Source organism: Homo sapiens, chromosome 4 (genome assembly GCF_000001405.40).
Source record: "Homo sapiens chromosome 4, GRCh38.p14 Primary Assembly".
Taxonomy (NCBI): domain Eukaryota; kingdom Metazoa; phylum Chordata; class Mammalia; order Primates; family Hominidae; genus Homo; species Homo sapiens.
In genome coordinates, this window is record NC_000004.12 from 2,692,002 (window position 1) to 2,712,695 (window position 20,694).

Below are 20,694 nucleotides of genomic sequence, written 5' to 3' on the forward strand. Positions count from 1 at the left end.
AGGGATATCAGTTTGGGGAATGGAGTATTTCTACTGTTCAAAAGCAGCACCCATAGGGTACTGACAGATTACAGCAGGATGATGGGCGCTTGTGTTAATCAATTCTCACACTGCTATGAAGAAATACCCAAGACTGGATGATTTATAAAGGAAAGAGTTTTAATTGAGTCACAGTTCCACATGGCTAGGGAGGCTTCAGGAAATTTACAATCATGGTGGAAAGCACCTCTTCACGGGGGAGAGAACGAGTACACGGCGAAGGGGGAAGCCCCTTATAAAACCATCAGCTCTCGTGAGAACTCACTCACTATCACTAGAACAGCATGGGGGAAACCATCCCCACGCTTCAGTTGTTTCCACTGGGTCCCTTCCACCACATGGGGGGATTATGGGAACAAAATTCAAGATGAGATTTGTGTGGGGACACAACCAAACCCTATCACTGGGTACCGACAGATTACAAAGGAATGGTGGGTGCCAGACTCTGGAGGAACCTAGCAGACAGTGCCATGCACACCACCATGAAACAGAGAGACACTGGGTGCATCCCATTGCCACAAACTCAGAAGGATCCAACGTAATATTTGCAGGATTTGTGCCCAGAACATTTTATCCAAATCTACCAAGACAAGACAAATCCAAATTGGCAGACAGGTAGCCTATTAAAAATGTTAAGTCTTGTGAAAAGAGAAAAGGGTTGGAAGAGGCTGGGTTAGTGGGAAAGCTATAATGGACATGTGAAGGAAATTGGAAAATGGAATATGGGTTATACCTTAGATGAGAGTATCCTGTCAGTGTTAAATGCCAGTGAGGTGATCATGGTATTCAGCAAAATGTCAAAAAAAGAGAGAGGGAGGGAGGGAGGGAAAGAAAGAAAAGAAAAGAGAGGAGAGAGAAGGGAGGAAATTTTTAAGTAAAAAGCTCGGTACAGTGGCTCACACCTGTAGTCCCAGCACTTTAGGTGGCCCTGGTGAGAGGATTGCTTGAGCCCAGGGGTTCAGGACCAGCCTGGACAACATAGTGAGACACTGTCTCTTAGAAAAAGGTGATTTTTTTTTTTTCTTTGAGACGGAGTCTTGCTCCGTCACCCAGGCTGCTGGAGTGCAGTGGTGCGATCTGTGATCCTCCTGCATCAGCCTCCCGCGTAGCTGGGACTACAGGTATGTGCCACCACGCCCAGCTAATTTTTTGTATTTCTAGTAGAGATGCGGTTTCACTGTGTTAGTCAGGCTGGTCTCGATCTCCTGACCTCATGATCCACCAGCCTCGGCCTCCCAAAGTGCTGGGATTACAGGCATGAGCCACCACGCCCGGCCAAGAAATTTTTTTTAAAAAACCAAACTGTCGATGTTCTGAGGAGTTCATACCGAAGTGTTCAGAGGTGAGTGTAACTTGCAGACGTTCGGCTAAAAAGTGTGTGTGCCTGTAAGAAATAAAGTTTATAAATATGACAGAATATTAGGTCGTGAAGATGAAGCAAGGTGAAGGATGAATGGGTACTCTTTGTGTGTTCTTTCAGATTTTCTACAGGTTTGAACATTTTTGAAACAAACTTGGCAGTGACTCTCGCCTCTCTAAATGCAGGTGACGTGTTTCATGGCATCAGCAAGGAGGACCACAGACACTCGGCCCCAGCCGCCCCGAGGAATAGCCCCACGGGCTTGGCCCCCCTCCCAGCGCTCTCGCCTGCTGCGCTGTCACCTGCTGCGCTCTCACCTGCCTCCACACCTCACCTTGCAAATCTTGCAGCCCCATCATTCCCCAAAACAGCAACCACAACTCCTGGGTTTGTGGACACACGCAAGAGTTTCTGTCCTGCACCCCTACCCCCGGCCACAGATGGCTCCATTAGCGCCCCTCCAAGTGTCTGCAGGTGAGCCAAGTCCTGACTGGGGACGTGGGAGCACTTTGGAAAATGGGTGTTATGCCTCACTAACACAGCTACAGAAACTCCCCTGGGACCATGCAGTGGAAAAGTCTAGTGAAATGCCGAGGGAATGCAGGGATGTCCCCAGCAGAGGCCATGGGTAGAGGGGGGCTCCCATCTCAGCCTGTAGTTTTGCAGAGGGAAGAGCAGGGGCCGTGGGCCGCCATGGATAGGTGGGCCAACTACGCCTAAACACTGACAGCATCGGGGGTGTGCATTGTTTTTTACTCATTGTATAAGTTGTATTTGTTATACCTAGGGTGGAATCAGAGGAAAATGAATGAAATGTGTATATAGTAAAAACACAATACAACAAACACTCAACAGGTGTGTTTTTTTGTTTTTTGTTTTTTTTCTCTGAGACAGAGTCTCACTCTGTCGCCCAGGCTGAAGTGCAGTAGTGCGATCTCAGCTCACTGCAACCTCCACCTCCTGGGTTCAAGCGATTCTTCTGCCTCAGCCTCCCAAGTAGTGAGACTACAGGCATACGCCACCATGCCTGGCTAATTTTTGTATTTTTAGTAGAGATGGGGTTTCACCATGTTGGCCAGGCTGATCTCGAACTCCTGACCTCAAGATCCACCTTCCTTGGCCTCCCAGAGTGCTGGGAGTACAGACGTGAGCCACTGCACCTGGCCAGACTTTCTTTTTAAGACAAATTCTGTTACCTTTGAACTCGCCTGTTTGAAGCTATACCCCTTTTCGAAGCCCCTTAGTATGGAAGCTGTGGTGGCAGGGGCAGTCTCAGAAGGAGTCATTGGAGAGACTACGTGTTCCTGTTCAGTGGCGCTCTGTGAGCACTTTGAGGGACCGCCTGCATGCATGCGCACACGCCATGTCTCCCACGTGAGCCCCTTGCTGCTTGTGTATGACTCCCTAGTAACCCTGGGACTATGCACCCTCTGCGCTGCCTCTTGTCTGTGAAATGGGCAGGACAGTGGGTGGTCATGTGCAACAATGTGAGTCATTGCCTCCCGGGCCGGCCACTTGCTGATGAGCTTGTATGCGGTTTTGCAGTGACCCTGACTGCGAAGGGCACCGCTGCGAGAATGGTGTCTACGACCCACAGCAGGATGATGGGGACGAGAGTGCAGATGAGGACAGCTGCTCTGAGCACAGCTCCAGCACCTCGACCTCCACCAACCAGAAGGAGGGCAAGTACTGCGACTGCTGCTACTGCGAATTCTTTGGGCACGGCGGGGTGAGTGCATGAGGTCAGCGCATCATGATGTGGGAAGTGTGCAACACACGGGCTCCTTTGCAGAAATTCTGTACTAGGTTGAATTCGGGGTATATTCCACTTCTAGGGTATATCCATTGTAAAGAAACAAAGAAAAATATATGCCCAAAGATTTAGCCATAATGATTTTTTTTCTTCATTTTTTACTTTGTGGTTTTTAAGGTAACTGGTAAATCAGCAGTGAGGTATTCCTACTGAATACCCATTGGTAGGAGGTTGTTAACCATGGTGTATCCATATGGTGGAACATTGTAGCCAGCGACAGCAGCGTTGTGTGTGTGCAGTTGGGTTTCTCTTGTTTGAATACAGAGGGCGTTGGTACACACACATACTTGTCCATCTTTCCAGAGCTGTGATTTAATTTATACAACCAATTATCACCCACTGTTTAAGAGGGATGGGTGACAGGAATAGCAGGGGCTTATAGTTGTTCTTTTTCTGCTTTAGCTCTGTTTGCATTTCCTAAAATGTTCACATGTTTTTATAGCAAGAAATTTGGCAGTAGGATTCAGGGCTTTTTTTGGCACCAAAAAGGAAACCCACAAATGGATGGAAAGATACTACAGACACATTTATTGACATGAAAAGATATTCACACCATGTTAAATAACAGGTAGAGGCCAAGCATAGTGGCTTATGCCTGTAATAGCAGCACTTTGGGAGGCTAAGGGAGGATCTCTTGAGCCCAGGAATTGAAGACCAGCTTGGGCGACACAGGAGACCCTGTCTCTACAAAAGATAAAGAAAATTAGCTGAGTGTGACAGCACACCCCTGCTTGAGCTCAGGAGGTCAAGGCTGCAGTGAGCTATGATCGCACCACTGCACTCCAACCTGGGTGACAGAGCAAGACCTTGTCTCAAAAATAAATAAATAAATAAATAAATAAAATACATTAATCAGGATTTGTAATTGTTTCCTTTTCAGTTTAAAAAATCCACTTATGTGCATAGCTATACATGCTTTATCAGGTTTTTCATGAATATGTAAAATTTGAGAGTAGGTATCAAAATGCCACTTTTGGGTGACTTGCTGATAGGTTTTTCTCTTTTTCTGCTGGTTGTTGTATTTCCTTATTTTTCACAACAAATATATACTACTTGAGTAATAAAACAGTTTATTTTTGGAGGTGTGGTCTGAAATTTATTATATTCAAAATTTTTAAAACTTAAGCATAACTTTGTTGTTTTTCTCAGCCTCCAGCTGCACCAACAAGTAGAAATTATGCAGAAATGAGGGAAAAGCTTCGCTTACGGCTGACCAAGAGGAAAGAGGAGCAACCTAAAAAAATGGACCAGATCTCAGAAAGGGAAAGCGTCGTTGACCATCGGAGGGTGGAGGATTTGTTGCAGTTTATAAATAGCTCCGAAACCAAACCAGTGAGCAGCACGCGTGCAGCGAAGCGAGCAAGGCATAAGCAAAGGAAGGCAAGTGACAGTTCTCAGCACCTGGAGGCGCCAGGTCTGAGGGCATTTGAAGGTGCCGTGCCACGCCAGTCTCTAGGCAGGGCTGAGCCACAGGAGGTCGGGGCTCTGACGTGTGTTCACTTGCCCACAACTTTGTTCTGAGAGCCAGCCTGTCTCTGGTGGCCTGAACTGGAGACTGGTAAAAAACTTAACTTTGTGTTTTCGGGAAATTACTTCCCCTTTTGTAGAATGGGTTTGTTCTTGTGCTGGCCATCATGAGGGCAGCAGCAGACACTCCAGCTTTATCTGCTGGAGAACCTTCTTTTCGAAGAAAGGAGCCGTCAACTGTAGAGATGATAGAAGAAAGGCCCAGGTGGGCTTTTGGGGCCTGTGGGTTCAGAAGTGTCTTTGATATGAGACTGGGGCGGGGCACTTGGCACAGGGAAGTCTTCTGGACTCAGGTCTGAGCATGTCCCCCATGCTGCTCTTGTCCCACTGCTGTTCCAGATGAAGACCAGCACATGGCATTGATTAGAGGGGAGGAAAATAAGTCTTCATGGGAAGACATGAGCAGTTCCCTCCTTACCAGAGGGCATGGTGTGTCACAAAAAGCAAATGTCAAATACAAAAAACGTTAGCCAGTCATGGTGGTGTACGCCTGTAGTCCCAGCTACTCAGGAGGCTCAGGTGGGAGGATCACTTGAACCTCAGAGGTGGAGGTTGCAGTGAGCCGAGATTATGCCACTGCCCTCCAGCCTGGGTGACAGAGTGAGACTGTCTCAAAAAAAAAGACAACTTTTTTCTCTTGGAGGATTGTCTAAATGCCCCTATGCTGGAGCAGTTCCAAAGAGCCTTCTGGTTTCAGCTCCCTAAAAGTGTCAGGCTCCAAGAACCAGACCTCAGTGAGCAGATGTGGGCTGCATGCAGAGGGAACTTGTAGGTTCCTGGGGTTCTGACAGTAGGACAGTGGTCTTGGGAAGAGGCCAGGTTTCTGTCTGCAGCATGGTCAGGCAAAAAGGTGAGGAAGAGGACGATCCCACAGTGGACCAGAGGGTGGGCCCGATGTCCTGTGTTGTTACTTGTATCTTAGCTGTTGTGATTGTTCTACCCTCAAGAGCTCTGCTCATACCTCGCAGTCCTACAGTAGATTTAGACTGACTATTGGGCCTGATTGGGAGGCTTTGGGGGAGAAGCCTTGTCCCGTGCCCCAGAAGACTAGAGACTGCTGGAGTGCAGAGAACACAGTGTGTCCTCCATTCAGGAGCGTCCAGCATCGGGGTACCCACGATGGTCCAAGGCCCTGAGACGTCCCATTGGGATTCACTGGAGGCCTCTGGGACGCCTTCCTGAGTTTTCAGGGTACTCTCCACCCCAGGCTCTTGCCCTCTGACCTTGCAGGTGGTCTGAATCCAGACTTGAGGCCCAGCTGAACCTTAGAGGCTGATGTCATAGGCCCTGCCCAGCACCCAGTCCCACCTCGAGGGACCACCTCCTGGTGCTTTCTACGCTGCACCCATTTTACAGAGCAGCTCACAGATGTGTGTTGAGGCTCACTGGCTGGCTGGTTGTTGAAGGGACAGCAATAGTTGACCTATGGACTCTGTCCCGTAGCAGGTCCAAACCGGGGGCCTGTGCTGGGGCAGCCGTTCTGCTGGAGACCAGGGCACCTGCCTTTACATGCTTGTTATTTGTCCATATATTGACAAGGCACGTGTGCTGGATTTAGATCAGCTCTGAGAGGATGCCAACTGGCCAGTGTGTGCCAGCGAGTGTCCTGATGGAGTTGGTCTCTCCTCTGCTCCCGTGCAGGCCCACAGCTCACTCTAGACACTGGACTGCAGGACCCATCCACGAGGTGGCTGCTGGGTGCTGCTCCTGACATACACATGGAGAAGGATGTTAAATAATTTTTACTTGAATTGTCAAATGAAATTTTTAATAACATACCATTGTTAAATTTTTATCATAATTTTTAAGTTTTTCAAAAGACAAGTCAATTTGCCTGTTTAAAATATTGTGAAAAATAATTTACACTTGGGGAGTACTTTTCTATTTCTCTAGGAGAAATGCTTTTGGCAGAGTTTCTCATAAGCCCCAGCATTTCTAAAGGTTGGTGGTGGGTGGAGCCGTGCTCCTAACACTGATGACTCTCATCTGCTTTCTGAACACAAAGAACAGTTTCCATTTGTGCCCCTGGAGTTTGTGTGCATCACTACTCAAATGCTGTCTTTACTTGGGATGAAAATTAATTTTCCATCAAGTTGGACAGTGAGTCATTTGCTCTGTCACATCTGTCACACTAGTGAAAATATATGGCACTTCTGTTTATCTGCTAGGGTGGGAAGAAGGAATTTCTAGTTCTTTACTACACATTGCTTTTTGTGGTGCCATCACAGCTCATTGCAGCCTCAACCTCCTGGCTTCAAGCGATTCTCAAACCTCAGCTTCCCAAATAGCTGGGACCACAGTCGTGCGCCCTCACATCCAGCTAATTTTGATACTTTTTGTAGAGACGGGGTTTTGCCATGTTGCCCAGGCTGCTCTTGAACTCCTAGGATCACAGGTGTGAGCCACTGCACCAGCCTGGTACACATTTCTTACATTCCCTGTTCAAGTGAATGCATTAGCCTTCGCCTGGAAAGGTGGGTTTGCTCAGAGTTCTGGCGGCACGTGTACAGCCTCAGTACTGCCCGGGCAGTCTGTGGTATTGGTTACATCATCCACTCGGCCAGGCGGCATGATGCCCTGCCGCACCTGTGAGGGGGTAGCTGACTCCCTGGATGTGTGCTTTGCAGCTGCTTTGTCCTTGGTTACTGTGTTTAGTACCAGGTCAAAGGCTATCGGGAATTTTTTGTTAACTACCACCCCCCCCCCCACACACACACACACAAATAAGTAAGCATATACTTTAGTAAATAGATGAAGTTTAACAATCCTGCAGAGTAAGAGAATTGGAGGTGGGTGTGTGTTAAGTTTTGATTTATTACAGCCTCTTCAGAGTTTATGTTCCATATGTGATTCGTTTTTGAAATTATCTTAGTTTTTCTGTATGACTTAATTTTTAGCACTCACTGTAGTCTTAAATTGCCTTCTTTTTGCATTGGCAGCTGGAGGAGAAAGCTCGCCTAGAAGCAGAGGCCAGGGCCCGGGAGCACCTGCACCTCCAGGAGGAGCAGAGGCGGCGGGAGGAGGAGGAGGATGAGGAAGAAGAGGAGGATCGTTTCAAGGAGGAATTTCAGCGGCTTCAGGAGCTTCAGAAGCTAAGAGCTGTAAAAAAGAAGAAGAAGGAGAGGCCAAGTAAAGACTGCCCCAAGTTGGACATGCTCACTAGAAATTTCCAGGCAGCAACAGAGTCTGTTCCTAACTCTGGAAACATCCACAATGGCTCACTAGAGCAAACTGAAGAACCAGAAACCTCTTCTCACTCCCCATCCAGGCATATGAACCACTCAGAGCCCAGGCCAGGGCTAGGGGCTGATGGGGATGCTGCAGACCCCGTCGACACCAGAGACTCCAAATTTCTCCTCCCCAAGGAGGTGAATGGGAAGCAGCATGAGCCACTCTCTTTTTTCTTCGACATCATGCAGCACCATAAAGAAGGAAATGGCAAGCAGAAGCTGAGGCAGACCAGCAAGGCCAGCAGCGAGCCAGCGAGGAGGCCCACAGAGCCCCCCAAGGCCACAGAGGGGCAGTCCAAGCCCCGGGCCCAGACTGAGTCAAAGGCTAAGGTGGTCGACCTCATGTCCATCACAGAGCAGAAAAGAGAGGAGAGAAAAGTCAACAGTAATAACAATAACAAAAAGCAGCTGAACCACATCAAGGACGAAAAGTCAAACCCAACCCCTATGGAGCCCACCTCTCCCGGTGAGCATCAGCAGAACAGCAAGCTGGTGCTGGCAGAGTCCCCTCAGCCAAAGGGCAAGAACAAGAAAAATAAGAAGAAGAAAGGAGACAGAGTCAACAATTCAATTGGTAAATACAGAATAGCGGGAAGGTATTTCTGAGCGATGCCTGGTTTTCCATGTGTGATGTGCTAGTATAGGAAAACACTGGGTTTGGCATGCTCTCGCCATGTGGCCTCCCTCCTGTAGAAAAGAGCGTAGAGGGGCCAGGCATGGTGGCTCACACCTGTAATCCCAGCACTTTGTGAGGCCAGGGTGGGCAGATCACCAGAGGTTAAGAGTTCGAGACCAGCTTGGCCAACATGCTGAAACCCTGTCTCTACTAAAAATAACAAAAAAAAATTAGCTGGGCTTGGTGGTGCACCTGTAATCCTAGCTACTCGGGGAGGCTGAGGCAGGAGAATCGCTTGAACCCAGGAGGCAGAGATTGCAGTGAGCCAAGATCATGCCGTTGCACTCCAGCGTGGGTGACAGAGAGACTCCATCTCAAAAAATACATATAGAGAGAGAGAGGATTTCTACCCCCTCCAGTTCCCCAACTTTAGTTCCCCAACATCAGTATTTCCCATGTTTGCTTCGTTATTCTCTCTCTCCCTCTCTCTCTTATTTTTCTGGACAGAAGGAGAGTCACTTCATACATGATACCCCTTTAACCTAAAATACTTCCATGTATATTTCCTCAAGATAAAGACACTTATAAAACCACAGTACAGTGATCAAAATGAAGAAGTTGACACTGATCCAATGCTATTCTCTAATTGTAGACCTTACTCATGTTTCTCCAATTGTCCTTTTAACATCCTTTATAGCAAAAAAAAAAAAAAAAAGCTCTTGTTGTTTCTCCTGACATGGGATCCAATCCAGGATCCCATGTCGTATCTCTTTAATTTCCTTTCCTTTGGATCGGTTTCTCTGTTTTTCATGACCTTTACTTTTTTGAAGAGTGCAGCGCATTTATTTTTTAGAGGATCCCTTGGTCAGGGTGCATGCCCCATGTCTTCCCAGTCAGGTTCAGATACCATGTTTTGGCGGCAACACCACTGATGTGGCCAGTCCCTGTTGGTATATCCCACCAGGAAGTGGGTGACGGTGTCTGTCCCATCACTGGGGATGGGAACTCTGATCCTGGGTTGAGCTGGTCTGCCCATTTTCACTACGGTCAAGTTAATATTTCTCCTTTGCTAATTAGTAAGTGTCTTATGGGGAAATGAGTATCCTGTTTTTATTGAACATTCACCGACTAGTTGTAGCATCCATTAATGATTCTTGCCGGAAATGTTTATTACTGTGTTGTCATATGGTGATTTTTTTTTTTTTTTGAGATGGAGTTTCGCTCTTGTTGTCCAGGCTGGAGTGCAGTGGCACGATCTCAGCTCACCACAACCTCCGCTTCCCGGGTTCAAGCGATTCTCCTGCCTCAGCCTCTCAAGTAGCTGGGATTACAGGCATGCACCACCACACCCGGCTAATTTTGTGTAGTAGAGATGGGATTTCACCTTGTTGGTCAGGCTGGTCTCAAACTCCCGACCTCAGTTGATCCGCCTGCCTCAGCCTCCCAAAGTGCTGGGATTACAGGCGTGAGCTGCCACCCCTGGCCCAAATGGTGAATTTTCTAATATTATTCTTTCTATATTTGTTACTTGCCATTCAACTGTAGGAAGAGCTTTCCAACCTCATGTGTTTTTTTCATTCACTTAGTTATATCAGGATAGATCCACGAAGTTTTACTTGATGCTATAGATGAGAATCTTTTACGAACACTCTTTATGTTGCTGTTTTGATTGTCTGAGATTCGGTCAGTGGGAGCCCCCTCGGAATGGCTTTTTCCTTAGACCATTTGATGCGGCCCTACCAGCCTTTAAGCATTTTATACTTTGTGTCATGGTTCGATGCTCCGGGCTCATCTCGTGTCTTCTCTCTCCCAGCCCTGAACCAGCCATTTCTCCAAGGAGCCCTCCTCTTTCTTCAACAGTGGTGTTCAGAAACCCAGACCTGGACACTGCCATATGGCATTGCTTTTAGGCCCTCTCAGTCAGCAGAGCAGGAGGAGTGGGGGTGTGAGCATGTGCACACGAGCGCCTGCCACCTACACACACTAATTGCTATGTACAAGCCGTGAGTTCCCACAGATATCCCAGCCCCACTCCTGTGCTACAGTGAGCGTTCTCCCTTCCCCGTCCACCTTTGTAACTCCTTAGACAGTAAGAACCTGGACCCCATCATCCATGGTGCCTTTACTGACTTGCTGAGTCCTACAACACAGGTAAAGGGTTCAGAAGTCCCTGCCCTTACCCGATGGAAAACTCCGGGCATGCTTTCGGTATTTGTTCAGTTCTTTTTGTCTTTAGCCTCAGGGTGTGGTGATTACACTGAATTTACAAATGACTTAAATTAGTTCTTTTCACCTTTAGTACAATTACGTTATTGATTGAAAACACACCTGATTGCGTTTTTCCATTTGTGTTCCATTTGTTTTCTCCCCTACCCAGTTCCTCTTTTTTTTTAATCTGTTCCCACCCACTCCCTGTAGGTAACTAATCAGTTTCTTATTTGCTTTTCTTTTTTACATAAAAGGTAGTGTATTATAGACATAATAGTGACTTCTGGGTTCTTTTCTACTTCATATATTCTGGGAATCACTGCACATCAGTTCGTAGAGATTGTCCTCATTCTTTCTGCAGCGACACGGTACTCCATTTAAAGTGTACGATGATTTCTGCAGTCACTCTTCTTTGTGCGAGCGTTTAGGTTGTTTCTAATGCTTTGGTTTTTTGTTTTTGTTTCTGTTTTAAGGTGGAGTCTCACTCTGTCATCTAGGCTGGAGTGCAATGGCGCAATCTCGGCTCACTGCATCCTCCACCCCCCAGGTTGAAGCAATTCTCCCACCTCAGCCTCCCAAGTAGCTGAAATTACAGGCACGTGCCACCATACCCAGCTAATTTTTGTATTTTTAATAGAGATGAGGTTTCACCATGTTGGCCAGATTGGCCTTGAACTCCTGACCTTAAGTGACCTGCCCACCTTGGCCTCCCAAAGTGCTGGGATTACAGGTGTGAGCCACCGTGCCCGGACTCAATGCTTTGTTTTAATCATTACACCCAGTGCTACAGTAAGTACTTGTGTGCATATGTGTTTCCATATTGTTTGGAGGTGTTTCCTTGGAGCACTTTCCCAGAAGGGAGAGGGCTGGGTCAAAAGGTAAGTGTGTTCCCGGTGTGGTGGCTCACGCCTGTAATCCCAACACTTTGGGAAGCTGAGGCAGGAGGATTACCTGAGGCCGGGAATTTAAGACCAGCCTGGGCAATATAGCAAGACCCCATCTCTACTAAAAAAAAAAAAAAAAGCCACTTATCTGGGCATGGTGGTGCACGCCTGTAGTCCCAGCTACTTGGGAGGCTGAGGCAGGAGAATCGCTGGAGCCCAGGAGTTTGAGGCTGCGGTGTGTCATGATTGCACCACTGCACTCCAGCCTGGGTGACAGAGTGAGACCCTGTCTCTTAAAATTTAAAGCAGCCGGGCATGGTGGCTCACGCCTGTTATCCCAACATGTTGGGAGGCCGAGGGAGGCGGATCACGAGGTCAGGAGATGGAGACCATGCTGGCCAACATGAAACCCCGTCTCTACTAAAAATACAAAAATCAGTTGGGCGTGGTGGCACACGCCTATAATCCCAGCTACTCGGGAGGTTGAGGCAGGATAATTGCTTGAACTGGGGAGGTGGAGGTTGCAGTGAGCCGAGATCACACCACTGCCCTCCAGCCTGGCAACAGAGTGAGACTCCATCTCAAAAAAAAAAAAAAAAAATTAAGGCTGGGCATGGTGGCTCACATCCATAATCCCAGCATTTTGAGAGGCCAAGACAGGCAGATCACTTGAGGTCAGAAGTTCGAGGCCAGCCTGACCAACATGTGGAACCCTGTCTCTACTAAAAATACAAAAATTAGTCGGGTGTGGTGGCACTCACCTATAGTCTCAGCTACTGGAGACACCGATGCAGGAGGATCACCTGAGCCTGGGAGGCGGAGGTTGCAGTGAGTCAAGATCACGCCACTGCATTCCAGTCTGGGCAACAGAGCAAGACCCTATCTGAAAAAAAAATAAAATAAAAATTTTTAAAAAGGTAAGTGCTTTCATAGTTTTTTTGCTAGCTACGTCCAAGTTCTCCAAACCCTCCAGTCAGCCCACCCACCAGCAGCATCTGAGTGCCTGTTTGGCCACAGCCTTGCTTATAGAGTAGTTGTCAGGCTTTTTAACTGTTGCCAATCCGTTAGCTACAGTAAGCCCTCAGTGTAGTTTTCATTTGCATTTTTCTCCTCTAATTACAATGAGGTCAATATATTATTAAGGGCTATTTCTTTTTGTGTGTATGAATTTTCTATTCATACCTATTTCTCATTTCTTACTAGGTTTTTGGTCTTTTCCCTTTTGTATTTAAGAATTTTGTTTTTGTTTTTGAGACGGAATCTTGCTCTGTCGCCCAGGCTGGAGTGCAGTGGCGCGATCTCGGCTCACTGCAAGCTCCGCCTCCGGGGGTCACGCCATTCTCCTGCTTCAACCTCCTGAGTAGCTGGGATTACAGGTGCCCACTACCACGCCCGGCTAATTTTTATATCTTTAGTAGAGACGGGGTTTCACCGTGTTAGCCGGGATGGTCTCAATCTCCTGACCTCACAATCCGCCTGTCTTGGCCTCCCAAAGTGCTGGGATTACAGGCATGAGCCACCGCACCCAGCCAAGAATTTTTTTATATGGTAGGGACATTAGCCTTTTACTCATGCAGTATGCTGCAGACATTCTCTCCCAGTTCATAAGTTGTCTTTTGACTTTGTGTATGCTTTTCAGTCAGGTGGAAATGTTCTTCCTTTTATGCGGTCAGCTTCTTGATTTTTTATTGCCTCTGGATTTTGAATAATTGTTAGAAAGCTTTACGCTAACATTGTGATTAAAGAGGAACACACCCATGCTGCCTTCCAGTGTTTGTGTAGTTTCTTTTTTTTTCATTTATATCCCTAATATGTTTGGAAATTTTTCTTCTCTGTGGTGTGAAATATGGATCCAATTTCTCTTTTTCCAAATGGTTAGCGAGTGGTCCCAGCACATTATTATTATTTATTCTTTTTTTTGGGAAGTGGGGTATAGGGTCTTGCTCTGTCACCCAGGCTAGAGTGTGGTGGTGCGGTCATAGCTCACTGCAGCCTGGAACTCCTGGGCTCAAGTGATTCTCCCGCCTCAGCCTCCTGAGTAGCTGGGACTACAGGCACGTGCCACCATGCTGGCTAATTTTTTTTTTTTTAGTAGAAACAGGGTCTTGCTACATTGCCTTAGCTGGCTATAACTCCTGGGCTAAAGCAGTCCTCCTGCCTCAGCCTCCCACAGTGCTGGGATCACAGACGTGAGCTACCATGCCCGGCCTTAGCACCAGTTATTAGAAAGTTCATCCTGGACCAGGTGTGAGGGTGATGGCTCATGCCTGTGATCCCAGCACTTTGGGAGGCCAAAGCAGGAGGATCATTCGAGCCCAGGAGTTTGAGACTAGCCTGGGCAACATAGTGAGACCCCATCTCTACAGATATTTTTTTTAAAATAGCAGGGCATGGTGGTGCACACCAGTAGTCTCAGCCACTTGGAAGGCTGAGGCAGGAGGATCACTTGAGCCCAGGTGTTTGAGATTACAATGAGCTATAATTGTGCCATTGCACTCTAGACTGGTCTATAATGAGACCTTGTTTCTACAAAAACAAAAATAAATAAATAAAATCATCTTGTCCCAGTGATTCAAGATGCCACCTTTGTCCTACAATAAATTTCTTTCTTTCTTTTTTTTTTTTTTTTTTTTTTGAGACAGAGTTTCACTCTTGTTGCCCAGGCTGGAGTACAATGGCATGATCTCAGCTCACTGCAACCCCTGCCTCCTGGGTTCAAGCGATTCTCCTGCCTCTGCCTCCCAAGTAGCTGGGATTACAGCCATGCACCACCACACCCGGCTAATTTTATATTTTTAGTAGAGACAGGGTTTCTCCTTGTTGGTCAGGCTGGTCTCAAACTCCCAATCTCAGGTGATCTGCCCACCTTGGCCTCCCAAAGTCCTGGGATTACAGGCGTGAGCCACCGTTCCCGTCCTGTCCTACAGTAAATTTCAATATGCACTTGGGTCTGTTTCTGGAATTTCTCTTCCTTTCCTCTCTGTTTACTTGTGTCATTATTGCATTTAGTTAGTTATTTTTAGAGGCTCTACATGTTGTAATATCTCGTAGGGCTGTTCTCTCCTCATAGCTTTTCCAGCTCAGTATTTCCCAGGCTATTTCATGTTTGTAGTTCTATATGAACTTTAGCATCAATGTGCCTGGCTCCATTTAAAAAAAGCTTGTTGGGGCCGGGCTCACACCTGTAATCCCAGCACTTTGGGAGGCCTGGGCAGGCGGATCACCTGAGGTCAGGAGTTCGAGATCAGCCTGGCCAACATGGTGAAACACCATCTCTACTAAAGATAAAAAAAATTAGCCAGGTGTGGTGGCGAGCGCCTGTGGTCCCAGCTGCTCGGGAGGCTGAGATGGGAGAATTGCTTGAACCCAGGAGCCAGAGGTTGCAGTGAGCCAAGGTTGCTCCACTGCGCTCCAGCCGAGGCAACAGAGTGAGACTCTGTCTCCCCCCACAAAAAAAAAAGTTGTTGGTATCTTTGTCAGGATTCCATTACACTTATACATTAATTTAGGGAGAATTGATGTCTTTATGATATTGATCATTCCTTCCAAGAACAAGGGATGTTTTTCCATTTGTTCAAGTTTACTTTCAGGTCATTCAGGAATATTTTAAATTTTCTCTTAAATATTTTTCACATTTCTTACTGAGTGTATTTCTCAGCATTTAATCACCATTGTTTTTAATTTAAATGGGATCTTCTCCACCATTATATTTTATAATTCTGAACTATCCAATACAGTAGCCATTAGTTATATGTCATTATCGAGCACTTGAAATGTGGCCAGTCCAAATTGAGAAGTGTTATAAGTGTAAAATATATACTGGATTTTGAAAACCTAGTGTAAATAAAAGAATGCAAAATATCTCAGTATAATTTTTAATATTGGTTACATGTTTAAATCATAATATTTTGGATATATTAAATATATTACTGCAATTAATTTCACCCGTTTCTTTAAAAAAAATTTTTTTTAATGTGGCTGTTAGAAGAATCTTTTGTGTGTGGCTCAGACTCAGATTTCAGATTATATTTCTTATTTTTTTTTTTTTTTTTGAGGCAGAGTCTCACTCCATCACCCAGGCTGGAGTGCAGTGGCGCAATCTCGGCTCACTGCAACCTCTGCCTCACTGCGGACTTTATTTCCCAGGTTCAATTCCACCTCCTGGGTTCAAGCAGTTCTCATGCCCCACCCTCCCGAGTAGCTGGAATTACAGGTGCCGCACCAGCACACTCAACTAATTTTTGTATTTTTAGTAGAGACCAGGTTTTACTATGTTGGCCAGGCTAGTCTCGAACTCCTGACTTCAAGTGATCCTCCTGCCTTAGCCTCCCAAAGTGCTGGGATTACAGGCGTGAGCCACTGTGCCCAGCCTCAGATTGTATTTCTATTGGATAGTGCTGCCCTAACTGGTTATTTATTTGTGTATGAAAGCTATTGATTTTTGTTTGTTTGTTTGTTTATTTCGAGATGGAGTTTCGCTCTTGTTGCCCAGTCTGGGGTACAATGGTGCAATCTTGGCTCACTGCAACCTTCGCCTCCCAGGTTCAAGCGATTGTGCTGCCTCAGCCTCCCAAGTAGTTGGAATTACAGGCAAGCAAAACCATGCCCAGCTAATTTTTTGTATTTAGTAGAGATAGAGTTTCACCATGTTGGTCAAGTTGGTCTACAACTCCTGACCTCAGGTGATCCACCCATCTCGGCCTCCCAAAATGCTGGAATTACAGGCGTGAGCCACCACGCCCGGCTGTATGTTAACTTTATTTTTTTATTTTTTATTTTTTTTAATTTTTATCTATTTTTTGAGATGGAGTTTCATTCTTGTCGCCCAGGCTGGAGTGCAGTGGCGCGATCTTGGATCACTGCAGCCTACGCCTTCTGGGTTCAAGCGATTTTCCTGCCTCGGCCTCCCAAGTAGCTGGGATTACAGGCGCACACCACCATGCCCAGCTAGTTTTTGTATTTTTGGTAGAGGTGGGGTTTCACCATGTTGGCTAGGCTGGTCTCGAACTCCAGACCTCAAGTGATCTGCCCTCCTTGGCCTCCCAAAGTGCTGGAATTAACAGGTGTGAGCCCCCTCGCCCTGCCTGTATGTTAACTTTATATATTTTACTTTACTGAATTTTATTGTTTGAGTCTTACTGTTGATTCTCTGGGGTTTTCCAGGCATTCTATTATATATGTGTACAAATAGAGAAAGTTTTACTTCTACTTTTTCAATTCTTACGCCTCTAATTGTTGTCTTTTACTTAACTGCATCTTTTCTGATCTTAACAGAAATGTCTCTGGTGTTTCCACATTAAGTAAGATGTTGGCTTTAGGGTTAAGGTTTATATATTATAAGATAATTATTTAAAATTAGCCACATTAAAAAAATTTAATGTTAAAAAAAAATCCAGCGATTCCTCATCTCTTGAGTGTTTTTCATTAGGAATGGGTGTTATGGGTGTTAAACTTCAAAGGTTTTCTAGCATCTGTGGAGATAACCATGATGTTTCTCCTTAGATGTATTAATACGATGTTTTACATTATTTGATTTTTAAGTATTGAACTGAACTTGAATTCCTGGAATAAAGCTCACTTGATTATGGTATATCCTTTTGTTTTGGAATCTGTTTACATTATTTAATATATTTACATCTATATTATTTTTAGGAGAGATGGGTCTGTGACTTCCGTTTTTGTTCTGTCTGTATTAGCTTTGAGTATCAATATTATACTTGCCTCATAAAAAGAATTAGGAAGTTTTTGGCTGGGCACGGTGGCTCATGCCTATAATCCCAGCATTTTGGAAAGCCGAGGAGGGGTGCGGATCACGAGGTCAGGCGTTCGAGACAAGCCTGGCCAACATGGTGAAACCCCGTCTCTACTAAAAATACAAAAATTTGCCAGGCGTAGTAACACGCACCTGTAATCTCAGCTACTCAAGAGGCTGAGGCAGGAGAATAGCTTGAACCCGGGAGGTGGAGGTTGCAGTGAGCCGAGAACACGCCACTGCACTCCAGCCTGGGACAGAGAGACTCCACCTCAAAAACAAAACAAAACAAAACAAAACACAGGAAATTTTCTTGTTTTTTACATTTTCAGTGATCTGGAACAATTCACATTGGGACCATCCAGGCTTTAAAGGTTTGATAGAAATCCCTTTGCAAGCCCCCTGGACCTGGTGTGTTTTCTGTGGTCCTTGCTAGCAGTCTTCTCTCCTCTCTGGAAATTATTCTATCTCTAGTGAGGTTAATTTTGGTAAACCATCTTTCTGTAGTAAATTATTCTTTTCAACTAGATTTTCAAATTTATTTGCATAGATGTCTGCAAGGTAGTCTAGTCATAGTTTTAAATTTCTTTGCAATGATTATTTTCGCCTGTCATTTCTTAGTTTGTGTATTTTTCCTTTCTCCCTATTTTGCTTAAGTTAATAGTTTATGTATTTTGTTAGTTTTTTAAAATCATCTGAGTTTATTATTTAGGTTTACTGTTCTTCTTTTGTTTTTTTTTTTTTTTCTTTTTTTTTTTTTTTGAGACAGAGTCTCGCTCTGTCCCCCAGGCTGGCGTGCAGTGGCGTGTTCTCGGCTCACTGCAGCCTCCACCTCCCGGGTTCAAGCTATTCTCCTGCCTCAGCCTCCCGAGTAGCTGAGATTATAGGCGCGTGTTACTACGCCTGGCTAATTTTTGTATATTTAGTAGAGATGGGGTTTCACCATGTTAGCCAGGATGGTCTCCATCTCCTGACCTCATGATCCACCCGCCTTGGCCTCCCAAAGTGCTGGGATTACAGGTGGGAGCCACTGTGCCTAGCTTACTGTTTTTCTTTACCTCCTTTCTTTCTTTTTTATTTTTTATTTTAAGACAGAGTCTCACTCATGTTGCCCAGGCTGGAGTGCAGTGGCACACTCACAGCTCACTGCAACCTCAACTTCCCTGGGCTCGGGTGATCCTCCCCACTCACCTTCTCAAGTAGGTGGTACCACAGGTGGGCACCACCACACTCGGCTAATTTTTTTGTAGTTTTTGTAGGAACAGCATTTTGCCAGATTGTCCAGGCTGGTCTCAAACTCCTGGTCTCAAGCCATCTGCCCACCTAGGCCTCCCAAAGTGCTAGGATTACAGGCATGAACCACCGTGCCCAGCCTACCTTGTTAATTTCTGCTTTCGTCTTTATTTTCTTTCTGTGCTTTCTTTTTTTTTTTTTTTTTTGAGACAGAGTCTCGCTCTTTCGCCCAGGCTGGAGTGCAGTGGTGTGATCTTGGCTCACTGCAAACTCCGCCTCCCGGGTTCATGCCATTCTCCTGACTCAGCCTCCCAAGTAGCTGGGACTACAGGCGCCCACCACCTCGCCCGGCTAATTTTTTGTATTTTTTAGTAGAGACGGGGTTTCACCATGTTAGCCAGGATGGTCTCGATCTCCTGACCTTGTGATCCACCCACCTTGGCCTCCCAAAGTGCTGGGATTACAGGCGTGAGCCACCACGCCCGGCCACTGTGCTTTCTTTTGTTTTACTTTCTTGGGGTTTTTTCTAACTTTTTAATTTAGAAATTCAGTTCATTTTGTTTTTTCTTCCATTTTTATTGATAAAAGTGTTCAGCACGTGGAACTTTCCTCTGATCTTTTTCTTAACAATATCCCATGGAATCTGATAGATAATTTTTCCTTTTTTGTTTGTTTGTTTGTTTGTTTTGTTTTTGAGATGGAGTCTCTCTCTGTCGCCCAGATTGGAGTGCAGTGGCATGATCTCGGCTCACTGCCACCTCTGCCTCCTGGGTTCAAGCAATTCTCCTGTCTCAGCCTCCCGAGTAGCTGGGATTACAGGCATGCACCACCACGCCTGGCTAATTTTTGTATTTTTAGTAGCGACGGAGTTTCACCATCTTGGCCAGGCTGGTCTTGAACTCCTGACCTCAGGTGATCCACCCGCCTCTGCCTCCCAAAGTGCTGGGATTACTGGCGTGAGCCACCACGCCGAGCCTCCATTATTTTTTTTAAAGAAATTCTGGGCTGGGCGCTATGGCTCATGCCTGTAATCCCAGCACTTTGGGAGGCCGAGGCGGGCAGATCACTTGAGGTCAGGAGTTCGGAAACCCTGTATCTACTAAAAATACAAAAATTAGCTGGACGTGGTGGCACGTGCCTGTAGTCCCAGCTACTGTGGAGGCTGAGGCAGAAGAATCGCTTGAATTTGGGAGGCAAAGGTTGTGGTGAGCTGAGATGGTGCTGCTGCACTCCAGCCTGGGAGACAGAGCGAGACTCCATCTCCAAAAAAAAGAAATTATGTAATTTCCATGCGTCTTTTTTCTTTCACTCGATAGTGTAATAGGCAGCTTTTAAATTTCCAAGAGGAGAAACTTTGTTGTTGTTAATAATTTACAGGTTTTTTTCATTGTGATCAGAGAATATTGCTTTTGTTTTGCAAAACCTATTGATACTTTCTGAGGCCCAGTGTATGTCAGCTTTTGTAACTCCTCCATGTGTACTTGATAGAAGTGTATTTTCTTGGGTCTTGGTATAGAGTTCACTGTGTGTGTGTGTATATATATGTACGTATGTATTTACATATGGAGATACATATATGTATACACCTCCATGATACATTAATTCTGTTGTTTAGTCTTCTGTATATCCTTATTTTGTGTCCTCATGGCCTGTCTTCTGTGGCTTATTATTAATATGTTTCTGTGTTTTCTTGCATCTCCTGTTTCCGTGTTGTTTGGTGCACATTCCTGTTATATATTTTTAGTTACTTGTGGCTTTTTGTGTTGAGAAGCGGCCACCTTCTGGTCGTGCTTTGTGCCTGCGGCCTAAGTCCTGCTCTGTCTGCGTTGTGACTGCTGCCCCTGCTCTCCTTCGGCCCATTTGCCTGACGAGACAGCCTTGTCCTTGGCCCTTTGTTTCCAGCCTTTTTCTGAGTGCCTTGGTTTTAGGACGTTCTCTTGTGTGAAGCAAACCTGAGGCTTGCTTTGTGAGCCAAATTGAAAATCTTCTTTTCAGTCAGTTAAGCCCATTCACACTTAGTGATATAACTATG

General features: G+C 45.8%; 1 protein-coding gene across 13 annotated transcripts in view, besides 3 other annotated features; it reads left to right on the plus strand.

Annotated features, from left to right (window-relative positions):
- The window catches only part of FAM193A (family with sequence similarity 193 member A), a 197,199-nt gene that overhangs the window by 156,627 nt on the left and 19,878 nt on the right, over positions 1–20,694 (plus strand). For 9 of the 13 annotated variants that reach the window (NM_001366316.2, XM_047416341.1, XM_011513590.3 and 6 more), the window contains 4 exons: positions 1,585–1,873; positions 2,945–3,128; positions 4,362–4,592; positions 7,679–8,543. In NM_001366316.2, coding sequence (NP_001353245.1) covers positions 1,585–1,873; positions 2,945–3,128; positions 4,362–4,592; positions 7,679–8,543 — 1,569 coding nt within the window. Of the gene's footprint in view, positions 1–1,584; positions 1,874–2,944; positions 3,142–4,361; positions 4,593–7,678; positions 8,544–16,144; positions 16,268–20,694 lie in introns of those variants that run through there. The other 4 variants (NM_001256666.2, NR_046336.2, NR_046335.2 and 1 more) reach the window with 4 other exon arrangements.
- Positions 3,995–4,054: an enhancer, noted in NCBI's record as "active region_21178". NCBI's record gives its function as "activates an Ori minimal core promoter by ATAC-STARR-seq in GM12878 lymphoblastoid cells {active_cell/tissue: GM12878}" and the evidence as "EXISTENCE:reporter gene assay evidence [ECO:0000049][PMID:35858748]".
- Positions 4,754–5,103: an enhancer, noted in NCBI's record as "active region_21179". NCBI's record gives its function as "activates an Ori minimal core promoter by ATAC-STARR-seq in GM12878 lymphoblastoid cells {active_cell/tissue: GM12878}" and the evidence as "EXISTENCE:reporter gene assay evidence [ECO:0000049][PMID:35858748]".
- Positions 20,311–20,530: an enhancer, noted in NCBI's record as "active region_21180". NCBI's record gives its function as "activates an Ori minimal core promoter by ATAC-STARR-seq in GM12878 lymphoblastoid cells {active_cell/tissue: GM12878}" and the evidence as "EXISTENCE:reporter gene assay evidence [ECO:0000049][PMID:35858748]".